General features: G+C 49.8%; 2 annotated features.

Moving 5' to 3' along the window:
- Positions 403-904: an enhancer, noted in NCBI's record as "H3K4me1 hESC enhancer chr18:12766527-12767028 (GRCh37/hg19 assembly coordinates)". NCBI's record gives its function as "activates a minimal SCP1, AML or CMV promoter by ChIP-STARR-seq in naive H9 embryonic stem cells {active_cell/tissue: H9 hESC(naive)}" and the evidence as "EXISTENCE:reporter gene assay evidence [ECO:0000049][PMID:30033119]".
- Positions 905-1404: an enhancer, noted in NCBI's record as "H3K4me1 hESC enhancer chr18:12767029-12767528 (GRCh37/hg19 assembly coordinates)". NCBI's record gives its function as "activates a minimal SCP1, AML or CMV promoter by ChIP-STARR-seq in naive H9 embryonic stem cells {active_cell/tissue: H9 hESC(naive)}" and the evidence as "EXISTENCE:reporter gene assay evidence [ECO:0000049][PMID:30033119]".

Here is a 12332-nt window from a genome sequence, read left to right on the forward strand (position 1 = left end):
GGCTCACCACAACCTCCGCCTTCCGGGTTCAAGCGATTCTCCTGCCTCAGCCTCCTGAGCAGCTGGGATTACAGGCATGCGCCACCACACCTGGCTAATTTTTTGTATTTTTAGTAGAGATGGGGTTTCTCTATGTTGGTCGGGCTGGTATTGAACTCCCAAGCTCAGGTGATGATCCACCCGCCTCGGCCTCTCAAAGTGCTGGGATTACAGGCGTGAGCCACCGCGCCTGGCCCATGTAACAGTTTTCTATGCCCAAGCTGTGATCTGTGAAATCTGCAGTAACAATAAAACCACGGATGGGGCTCTGTGTGTGCGCACATGTGTGTGTACCCACACCTGTACATATCTCCCCCACTATCTGCAGTTTTTCTAGTTTACAAACCGTTTAGATTTGGATTCTGGAAAACCCAAGATAGATTATTTTCCTCTGAAAGGGGCCAGTGAGCAGACCATCAAAGCTGAAGCCCTTCCCTTCCCCTGTAGATCACAGGACCATCAGAACAAGGATGTTTTAGCAGGAGGCCACCCCGACACACCACGCAGCACCCGCAGTCCTGCCCCTTCCCGAGTCTGATGGGTTTCAGCGGAAGGGCAGTCCTGGAGTCTCACAGCGCCAGTCTGCACCACGTGTGAAGGGGCCTGACCAGCTACAGATATGCTCGCTTACAGGGACACCCCTGCAAGGAGGGACTCCGAGGAAATAAGTTCTTTCCACTCTCTCCAGACACTGGTCTATTTTCTTAGGGTTTTGTGGATCTGGCTCCCAACAGTCCTTTGTGATATCTAATCCTAGTATGTAAATAAAGGCATTGTGGTGGCTTTGGAGTACATGGTCTAGGCAAGGCTGAACGACATTTCCTGGCTTTGCTTTCTTGAATGTTTCTGTTAGGGTGGTCATAAGGGCAAACCTGTGGGAGATCTGAGGGCAGAAGTGAAGCAGGAGGTGTCACGTGTCGTACACATCGTCGCCTGCCAGTGGGCTCGCCTCGGGAGTATGGGAAGGCAGCGGCCGCAGGGCTCCACCTTCCCTGAGCCAAGCCCTGGGTCAGATGTAAAGGTCAGCTCAGTGACAAACAGCGCCAGCTCCTCCTGCAGGACACTCGGCCCAGTGCTGCCGCAAGAGCTGCCACCTTGGTCTATTCCTGCGGCCCTGCCCCCTCACCTTACATACCCCTCACCTCTGCCTGCCCTTGGAGACAGCCTTGGAGAGGTGGCTTACCCAGCTCCCACAGTTGCAGAAGGCCAAGTCCCCGTGACAAATAATGTCACATGCACCAATACATGCCCCTACCTCCAAGGGGCTCAGCTTCTCTGATTCATTCCTGACTGATAGCAGAATTTGGTACTGGAAGCAGGCTGGTCCTAGAGAATCTTAAAGATGAATTCTCTGAATTGATTCTGGGTTTTCAGGAATTGGTTGCCTGATCTGATTAGGCTTAAAATTTAATGATTCTGGCTGGCTGCCGTGGCTCATGCCTGTAATCTTAGCACTTGGGGAAGCTGAGCCAAGCGGATCGACTGAGCTCGGGAGTTCAAGACCAGCCTGGGCAACATGGCAAAACCCCGTCTATGCAAAAAGTTGAAAAATTAGCTGGAGGTGGTGGGCGCCTATAGTCCTAGCTACTCTGGAGGCTGAGGTGGGAGGATCACCTTAGCCTGGGAGGCCAAGGCTGCAGTGGGCCATGATCGTGCCACTGCACTCCAGCTTGGGTAACAGAGAGAGAGACCCTGTCTCAAAACAAAACAAAACAACACCCCTTATCTCCTGTAGCAAGAGAGACAAAATTTCTGAAAGCCACATCCAAAGTCCAACCCTGTGTGTGGCTGAATTACATCACAAATGGACCCTCTATCCTCTCAGGTCTCTTTTGCTAACATGAGGACACTGATCAGGAGGGAATGGGACCCAGGGCTGGAATAAGGACATAGGGGCAGGCTCCAGTGTTGCAGGGGACCTTAAACCCTGGCAAGTCCGCCAAGACTTCTTTGTCCATAGAAGCAGCCCTTCATTCCCTGCCGAAGTACATTCCTATCCCCCTGCCTGGGAAGACGCCACTTACTGTCCTCAGAACCAGCCTGACCACCACCCCTTGTTCTAGACCCAGAACCAGACTCAAGTTCCAGCAAGTCCCTGAGGTGAAAAACAAAAGAACTGCCTGATTTTGCCAATTTGTATTGACAGAAACCTGGGAAATAAGTGTGGAGATGGATCTTAAGGGTGTGAGATGGAGTTTGAATGAATGTAAAATGATATTAGGTCAAAGTTATCGTTAGGAGATCATCAAGCTGCCTCCAGATCCAACGTGTTAGTTTGAGGCTGGGGGCGTCTCAGTTTGCCCGAGACATTTTATGAAACATGGACCCAAGGGGCCCACAGCAAATGAAATGGAAGTGCTGGGGTGCTCCTGAGGAAGACAGCTCTGCAGGGGCTTTGGGAGATGGCAATATCAGAGTGCATTTATCGTGTGAGACCTGCTCACTCACCCCTCCCAGTGTCCCCTACGTGGGCCCAGAAAACATGCTCACCACCAGGGCTCTGAGAAACAGATTTGTGAGGGGAGCCCCAGCATCCCTGGGGAGCTCTGTGGTGGACAGGAATTACAGCGGAAGCAGATCCATTTGATGGGTACCACTAATTCCACGTGGATGATGTGTTCCAGGGTTGCAGAGATTAAGGGGTATTATTTAATCACCAAAGACAAACTGGGTGTGGTTACTATAACAGACACAGAAACAAAGCAGTCTGACTCACAGGGACCTGCAGTTGGTCAGGATGTCCACAGAACTGAAACAGTGGGGAGGCCCACTGATGTCCTATCTGAGCTGCATAATCAGAAAAGCTTTCCATCTAGTCAACAGAAATCTGACCTGAATTGCCCACAACAGAGTTAAGAGTCCTTGGTCACACCCCTGACATGATCCATCCCACACACCCAGAGCTCTTTATGTAAGGAGCCAGGTCTCCTGCTGGAAAGACCTCACTACACTGCCAAACATTTCTATTGTTGGTCTTCATCTCAGCCTTCCCTAAAGGGGACTGCACCCATTTTCTAGTGTGACTGTGCGCTGGAGAAGGTGAAAGAATCAGATGTTACAGGACTAGAAGCTGGCTCAGAATTGACACCAGTTCCTGGAGATGCAAAACACCACCGAGGTCCCCCAGTCAGAGTAGGAGCTTGTGGAGGACAGGTGACCAATGGCATTTTGGCTCATGTTCTTCTCACAGTGGTGTCCCCAGTTTTGGAATGCATAATATCTGGAACAGATATGTTCAGGAACTTGGAGAATCCATACATTAGTTCCCTGACCTGTGGTACAAGGGCAATTATGGCAGGAGAGGCCCAGAGGAAGCCACTGCCTGCCTCTACCTAAAAAAAACCTTAAACCCGAAAGCAGTATCACACTTCTGGAAGGACTGCAGAAATTAGTGCCACCATCAAAGTAGTCAAAGATGCAAGCGTGGTGATTCCTACCATATCCCCATCCAAGTCACTTATTTTGGCCTGCACATAGACTGATGTATCTTTGGGGATGACAATGGATTGTCCCTCAGTCAGGTGGTGACTCCACTTGCAGCTATTCCAGATGTAGTTTCATTACTGGAGCAATTAACCTATTCCTTGGCATCTATATGGAGCTATTGATTTGACAGATACCTCTTTAATCTATACCTTTAATAAATATCATCAGAAGCAGTTTGCTTTCACCTGGCAAGGCCAATAATACACCTTCACTGCCCCAAGTCTGGCTATATCAGCTTTCTACCCTGTGCCATAATTTACTCACCAGGAACGTTGATCACCTTTCCCTTTCACTAGTACATTGTATCAAGGAAAACATGCAGTTGGGACATTTGAGCAGGACATAACTACTTGATACGTGGAGTAGCAGCTACTTGTGCCAGAGGTTGAGAAATCAGCCCTCCAAAAATATTAAAGGGTCCAGTTGTCTGGGGCATGTCAAGATATCTCTTCCAAGTGAAGGACAAGTTTCTGCAACTGGTCCCTCCTACTGCTAAGGAAGAATAACAACACTGAGTGGGCCTCACTGGATCTTGGAGGCAATATGTGACTCATCTAGGCATGCTACTCCAGCCCACTGACCCAGTGGCCGTTCCAACCGCCAGTTTTGAGTAGGGCTCAGAGTAAGAGATGTCTCTGCAACAGGTCAGCTGTACCAGCTGCTTTGCATTTGGCCTGTGTGACCCTGCAGAACTGATGGGGCTTAAACTGTCAGTGATGGGTAAGGAAGCAGCATGGAGCCTTTGGCAGGCCTCCATGGGTGAAGACAGTGAAAACCCTCAGATTGTTAGATTATGCTATCCTCAGTGAATACTCTCCTTTCGAGAAACAGTTTTTGGCTTGCTACCGGGCTCTAGTAGAGATTGAATGACCATGGGCCACCACGTTCTCCTGTGGCCTGAGCTGCCCATCATGAATGGGTGCTGTCTGACTCACGAGCTATCCGCTGATGTGCATAGCCGCATTCCATCTTCAGTGGAATACACAGGATTGGGCTCGAGCAGGTCAAGAAGGAACAAGTTGCATGAGGAAGTAGCCCAGATGCTTGGGCCCTTTCTCCTACCACGTGGCCATCTTACTCTCCTCCCATGCCTGTAGCCTTGTGGGGATTCCCTATGACCTTGAATTTCATTCATATTTTAAACTCACTTTGGCTGGTGGTCACCTAATGTAATAGTAATTACTTTTCAGTCTTGTTTTCTAAAGTAGGGATCTGTTGACGCCTGCCCTGACATTAGTGTGTCCCACAGGATCTGTAGATCTCTCATCTGGGGCACTCTCAGGTGACTCTACTGCACTCCCGCGAGGAGCTCCAGGAGCGTATCTGTCTCCATCTGCAGCCTCCATCACGCCCCTCAGGCTAGCAATGAGTTCCTCTAAAACACCTAGCAACATGGTCCTGACTTAATCGTGCTTCCACTTGGATTTGGATTTCACATGGGGACTCCTAGATACTAATCCGCTTAACCTACAACAATGGTGAGAATTTTAGGCATAATAGGAGCAATAAGGAAATTAAATTCCAGTCATTTTTTTGGCCATGTCACAAATATCAACAGCAAGTCCAGCTCTGATTCAAATAATACAGACATTAGACATTAGTTAGGCAAACTCTGACTATAAACTAAGTAGCATTTGGAGACTGGGTGCTAGGGTTTGCTTCACTAAAACTGGGCTAGAAGATTCTTTTTATTTTTTGAGAGGGAGTCTCGCTCTGTTGCCCAGGCTGGAGTGCAGTGGTGCGATCTGGCTCACTGCAACCTCTGCCTCCTGGGTTCAAGCGATTCTCCTGCCTCAGCCTCCTGAGTAGCTGAGACTACAGGTGCCCGCCACCATGCCCGGCTTTTTGTATTTTTAGTAGAGATGTTAGTCAGGCTGGTCTCGAACTCCTGACCTTGTGATCTGCCCACCTTGGCCTCCCAAAGTGCTGGGATTACAGGCGTGAGCCACCTGCCCGGCCTAGAAGCTTCTAAGAAGCACACTGAGGTAGGGTTTCTGCAGGAGAAGGCTGGGCACAGAGTGCTGAGGGCTCCACAGCATGTCACTTAAGGGAGTCACCTTGGCTCTAGGTCTGTCCATGACTTTGCCATCCCAGAAATGTCCCTTTGTCTGTGGCTTGGGATTGATGTAACTCGGGGTTACTGACGTGATAACTAAACTCACAAAATGCCAAGCCATGTGGTCAACTGGGCCAATTTGCTTGTTGAAAAAAATGACTGTGCATTCTTCTTAACCTGGCCCGTGAATGTTTTATGCCAGGAGGCAGAAAGCTTATCTGGAAGTTGGTTAGTGAGCATGGAATCAAAGCAAGAGTGGCTGTCATCAGACTCAAATGTTTCATTGCATTGGGTCCTTGTGCTGGATGGATGGATGGATGGATGTCCAAGATAGGAATATTCTACCATGTAAAATAGAGACTTCCTTCGTGCTTGGCCTCCATGCTCCCTTCATTACTGAACTCCTTCTGATGGACACATTATATTTCTTTAGCATGTTACTACAGACAACTAGATTTTACTAGTGTTTCGTTTGGTTTGGGAGCCATTTTGTCTCTTTAAGCGACATTCAATAGGTCTGACCTCATCCTTATGTGACTATCAATTTTCAGAGAGGAGCAGTGTTTGGTGTTTTCCCCAAGCTCGTGGGAGGGGCCTCCTGTCACTGCCATACGTTATTGACATGACCTGTGCTGAACCTGGCCAGCACCACCCCCCGAGACTCTCTCCTCACCTTTCTAGTATTTGCTTTTGCCTGTCACAAAAGGATTGGTACACCTGTCACGTACCAAAAATGTATCATTTGAAAGAAACAAAAATAACAATTGTTACATGCATTTTAAGTACATAAAAATATATTAACTCCAAATAATATCTTAAAAAATAAAAAGTTGGCCGGGTGCAGTGGCTCACGCCTGTAATCCCAGCACTTTGGGAGGCCGAGGCAGGCGGATCACTTGAGGTTGGGAGTTTAAGACCAGCCTGACCAACATGGTGAAACCCCATCTCTACTAAAAATACAAAATTAGCCGGGTGTCGTGGCACATGCCTGTAATCCCAGCTACTCAGGAGGCTGAGGCAGGAGAATTGCTTGAACCCGGGAGGTGGAGGTTGCGGTGAGCTGAGATAGCACCATTGCACTCCAGCCTGGCGACAGAGCAAGACTCCATCTCAAAAATAAATAAATAAATAAATAAATAAATAAATAAATAAATAAATGGTTGCCATTGGTGCTTTCTAGGGCATTAACTAGTCTGAAAATTGATAAATAAAGGGAAAAAAATCAAGCATCATCTATCCTGTTTCGACAGTATAAACCATATTTCAGAACACCTTAGTAGTTGATGAAGGAAAGTACGTTTTGATTTTTAGAGATAGGGTCTCACTCTGTTGCCCAGGCTGGACTGCAGTGGCCTGATCATAGTTCACTGCAGTCTCAACTTCTCAGGCTCAAGCAATCCTCCTGCCTTAGCCTCCCAAGTAGCTGGGACCACAGTGCTCACCCCCACCATGCCTGGGTAATTTTTAATTTTTTGTAGAGACACAGTCTCTCTGTGTTGCCAAGGCTGGTCTCAAACTCCTGGCCTCAAGTGATTCTCTCACCTTTGGCCTCCCAAAGTGTTGGGATTACAGATGTGAGCTACCACGCCTGGCTCAAGACAAATTGTTTATAGAAAGAAAAATCATGGCTAGCAAATGCATGAGGAAATGGAATTGGAAAGTTCCTATGTTGCTTTCTCCAATGAAATATTTAGGCAATGGTCACCAATGGCTATTAAAGTCCATCAGGTGAGAGCGTGAAGTGACGCTTCATGAGGCTAGGTCAGACACCAACTGCATCCACCAATCAATCTTAGTTTTACTAAAAGTGGAACAACTAGACATGAAGTGCCTCCAGATGTGACACCAAAGTGCACAGCACCAATCATGGAGGGTTCCTGCCACAAACGTCACACTGAAATCTAATAGGCACCTGGACATAGTGATCAGTTTACAGGAAATAAATGAAAGAAGGACCGACAAATGTCACCACAAAGATATCGTCACCACATCCAAATTGTGGGAGATTTTATAGGACAAATGACCCATGTTTTTCCTCAGGAATAAATAGCATAGGGGCCAAAAGGGAAAGGGCATTGCTACAGAGGATCAGACACTCAGCTGCCATTTCCAGAAAATGCACTGGGTGGACTGCACTTGGATCCTGATCCAAGCAAATCAACAGCAAAGACACATTTTTGAGATAACCGGGGAAAACTGAAGACAGACCCGGCGTTAATAGATGTGAATGCATAAATATGGATCTTGCTGAATGGGATAATGATATTGCCATCAGGCCAAAGTAGTAAAGAGCCCTTATCGGACAGATGCATAGGACATTACATGACACCTGGGGCTAAGTTTGCAAGAAGAGCAGTGTTGAAAACTGTTGAGGCTGGGGTAACCCACGGGGTTCATAACACGATTCTCCATACTGTTCTGTATATTGGAAACATTCTGCAGTAAGTTTAACAAATTAAATTACATTTGAGGCCAGGCGCGGTGGCTAACACCTGTAATCCCAGCACTTTGGCAGGCCAAGGTAGGCGGATCACCTGAAATCAGGAGTTCAAGACCAGCCTGGCCAACATGGCAAAACCCCTTCTCTACTAAAAATACAGAAATTAGCTGGGTATGGTGCCGGGCACCTATAGCCCCAGCTACTTGGGAGGCTGAGGTAGGAGAATCACTTGAACCCGGGAGGCAAAGGTTGCCGTGAGCCGAGATCCCACCACTTCACTCCAGCCTAGGAGAGAGAGCAAGACTCCATCTCAAAATAAATAAATAAATAAATAAAAATAAATAAGTGAAAAAAAAAAAAAGGCTACTTTTGCCAGCACCAAGTGCCTGTGCGATGCCTGGGAGCCAGGCTCAGGGAGCAGCTTGGAAGGCGCCACTGCACTCCAGCCTGGGCAAGAGAGCGAGACCCCCCCCCCGTCTTAAAAAATATAAATGTATATATAGTTTCTCAGTATGTAGTTTCAAATTTTATTTCAGGAAACTTTTCTTGATTTACAAATTTCACTGTTCTATTCACTTTGGATTTCTTCTTCAGGGACTCCTATTATCTGTATGTCAGTTTCTTCCCCTGTCTTCAATATTATCACTTTCTCTTGAATCTTTTCAGTCCTCCTTTCCAATAATTGTTACATTTTAGATTCGTTGTAGATTTATAGAACAATTGCCAAGCTAACACAGAGTTCCTATATGCCCCACACCCGGTTTCTCCTCTTAACATCTTACATTAGAATGGCAAATTTGTCACAATTAATGAACTCATGCTGATCCACTGTTATAACTAAAGCCCACCATTTATTCAGCTTCCTTTAGTTTTTACCTGATGTCATTTTCTGGTCTGGGAGCCGGCCCAGGATGCCCCGTTGCCGGTGGTGGTTGTAGTTACTCTCCGCAGGCTCCTCCCAAGCTAAGAGTTCCTCACACTTTCCTTGTTGCTGATGAGCCCATCAGTTTTGAGGAGGCCTGGCCCGCTATCCTCTCAGCTGGCATGTGTCTGCTGTTTTTCTCGTGATTAGATGGGGTTTTGGGTCTGCTGAGAGCATAGCTTTTCACACCCATGCAAAAGCACACACCACCAGCATGGCTCATTGCGTAGGTGCTAACTTTGGCTGCCTCGCTGAGGGATGGCCTGATGTATTTTTTATTTTAATATAAATAGCACATTCTTCGGCTGCTAATCGTATTACTATTCTTCAGTATTTAAAAGGCGCTAGATGCTGTGATAAGCACTTTAAGATCCTATTTCTTTCTCTCAACAACACTGCAAACTACGAGTACAATCCTATTGTGCAGATAAACAGAACTCTCACACAAACACACACACACACAATTGTGGTAAAATATACATCAATTTCTATCAACCATTTTTACCCGCACAGCTCATTGGCTCCACCACATTCCCATCTGCGACCACCACCCTCCTTCTCCAGCGCCTTCTCATCTTCCCCACGTGTTCCACGTCTCACCTCTGGTCCCAGCGACACCAGGGCTTTCGGTCTTTGGGAGATTGAGGTGGTTTTGTGCCCGGGATTAGGTGGGTTCTTGGTCTCACTAACTTCAAGAATGAAGCCGTGGACCCTCACGGTGCCTGTTATGTTTCTTAAAGGCAGCGTGTCCCCAGTTTGTTCCTTCTGATGTCCGGCTGTGTTGGCAGTTTTTTCTTTCTGGCGGGTTCATGGTCTCGCTGGTTCAAAAGTGAAACTACAGACCTTCGCGGTGAGTGTTACAGCTCTTAAGTCTGCGCCTCCGGAGTTGTTCATTCCTCCTGGTGGGTTCGTGGTCTCCCTGGCCTCAGGAGTGAGACTGCAGGCTTCCACCGTGAGTGTTACAGCTCATAAAGGTAGCACAGACCCAAACACTGAGCAGCAGTAAGATTTACTGCAGAGTGAAAGAACAAAACCTCCACACTATGAAACGGAATCTGAGTGGGTTGCCACTGCGAGCTTGGGCAGCCTGCTTTTATTCACTTATCTGGCCCCACCCACATCCTGCTGATTGGTCCATTTTACAGAGAGCCGATTGGTCTGTTTTACAGAGAACTGATTGGCCCGTTTTGGCAGGGTGCTGATTGGTGTGTTTACAATCCCTGAGCTAAACACAAAAGTTCTCCACATCCCCACTGGATTAGCTAGATACAGAGTGCTGATTGGTGCATTTACAAACCTTGAGCTAGATACAGGGTGGCGATTGGTGTATTCGCAATCCCTTCGCTAGACATAAAGGTTCTCCAGGTCCCCACCAGATCAGCTAGACACAGAGCGCTGATTGGTGCACTTACAAACCTTGATCTAGACACAGAGTGCTGATTGGTGCATCCACAAACCTTGAGCTAGATACAGAGCGCCAATTGGTGTATTCGCAATCCCTTAGCTAGACAGATTCTCCAAGTCCCCACCAGATTAGCTAGACACAGAGCGCTGATTGGTGCATCCATAAACTCTGAACTAGACACAGGGTGCTGATTGGTGAGTTTACAAACCTTGAGCTAGATACAGAGTGCCGATTGGTGTATTTACAATCCCTTAGCTAGACATAAATGTTCTCCAAGTCCCCACTAGACTCAGGAGCCCAGCTGGCTTTACCCAGTGGATCCCGCATCAGGGCCGCTGGTGGAGCTGCCTGCCAGTCCCGCGCACTGCGCCCGCACTCCTCAGCCTTTGGGCGGTCGATGGGATCGGGCGCCGTGGAGCAGGGGGCGGCGCTCGTCTGGGAGGCTCGGGCTACGCAGGAGCCCATGGCGGCAGGGGGGTGGGGGGAGGCTCAGGCATAGCAGGCTGCAGGTCCTGAGCTCTGCCCGGCGGGGAGGCAGCTAAGGCCTGGAGAGAAATCGAGCGCAGCGCCGGTGGGCAGGCACTGCTGGGGGACCCGGCGCACCCTCCGCAGCTGCTGGCCCGGGTGCTAAGCCCCTCACTGCCCGGGGCCGGCGGCCCGGCCGGCCGCTCCGAGTGTGGGGCCCGCCAAGCCCATGCCCACCCGGAACTCTAGCTGGCCCGCAAGCGCCGCACGCAGCCCAGGTTCCCGCCCATGCCTCTCTCCACACCTCCTCGCAAGCTGAGGGAGCCGGCTCCGGCCTCGGCCGTCCCAGGAAGGGGCTCCCACAGTGCAGCAGCGGGCTGAAGGGCTTCTCGAGCGCCGCCAGAGTGGGTGCCCAGACAGAGGAGGCGCCGAGAGGGAGCGAGGGCTGCGAGGGCTGCCAGCAGGCTGTCACCTCTCAGTTTCAGGGCAACAGGCCCACCCCGAATAGTCCTGGAGCCAAAAGGGAACGAGCTTCTTCCTTCAGGTGGGGAATAGTTCACGGTGCTGCTTCCAACGTATCTTCTTCCTCGCCGTTTCCTGAGACTTCTCCAAAGCGGGGGCCGTGGCGCGGCGTGCTGTAGGCGCTGTGCTGGCGCCGTCCGGGCTCCCGAGCGGGCTGAGGGCCCTCCCCTGGGGCTGCGCCACCCCGCTCCGAGGCGGGGCCCTTCCTGGAACCGGCTTCCCTGCACCATTCCTGATCGGAGGCTGCGAACGGCACAAGCCCCTGCGGCGTTTTGAGTGGGGAAGTGAGCCGGGGCCTGTGCCTCCCGGGGAGCCGTGGGCAGGTGCGTGGCCACGGACTGGGCTCTCGGAGCTTCCCATAAAACCCCGGAGACCCACTCAGCACGGCTGCGGGCCCAGGCACGCTGGTGCTGGCGCCTCTCAGGCAGGACGACTCCACAGCCAGCGGGAGAACTTTCCAGATCGCCCTGCGCAGATGCTCCCCTCGCATGAAATCACTGCTCAGCGTTAGCCGCGGGCCAAGCCCCGGCCCAGCCCCAGGGAATACTTAGGGGACTGCAGGTGCAGGCCGTGGGGGCGGCCGGGCTCGGGCCGGCTCTGCAGACCCCGCTCCACGCAGAGGGCGATGCTGGGGACTCGCAGAGCTCGAGACCGCTGAGCTTCCCTCACTCATGTATGGCTTAAAGTTATTCATGCTGAACTCCAGCTTAGCACATTGTTGCACAAACACAGATATTCATTACCTGGCATTTTTATTCAAACTTCCTCAAAGCCAGTTAAGAATATCAGAAACACAAGTAAATTAATATTAATTATTCAGGTGCTTTAGTCACTTCATCCAAAGACGTTCCAGCGGCATGGTTTCTTTGGATTCATATAATTTTCTTCGTATTGCCTGGATTCCACAAGCATCCGTTCATGAGACACTGCACGTTGAGACGGTAACGCCCCTAGGCTGCAATATAATGCCCACCTTGCGCTTGCTCACCAGCATCCA

This window comes from Homo sapiens, chromosome 18, assembly GCF_000001405.40.
Source record: "Homo sapiens chromosome 18, GRCh38.p14 Primary Assembly".
NCBI classification, from domain to species: Eukaryota; Metazoa; Chordata; class Mammalia; order Primates; family Hominidae; genus Homo; species Homo sapiens.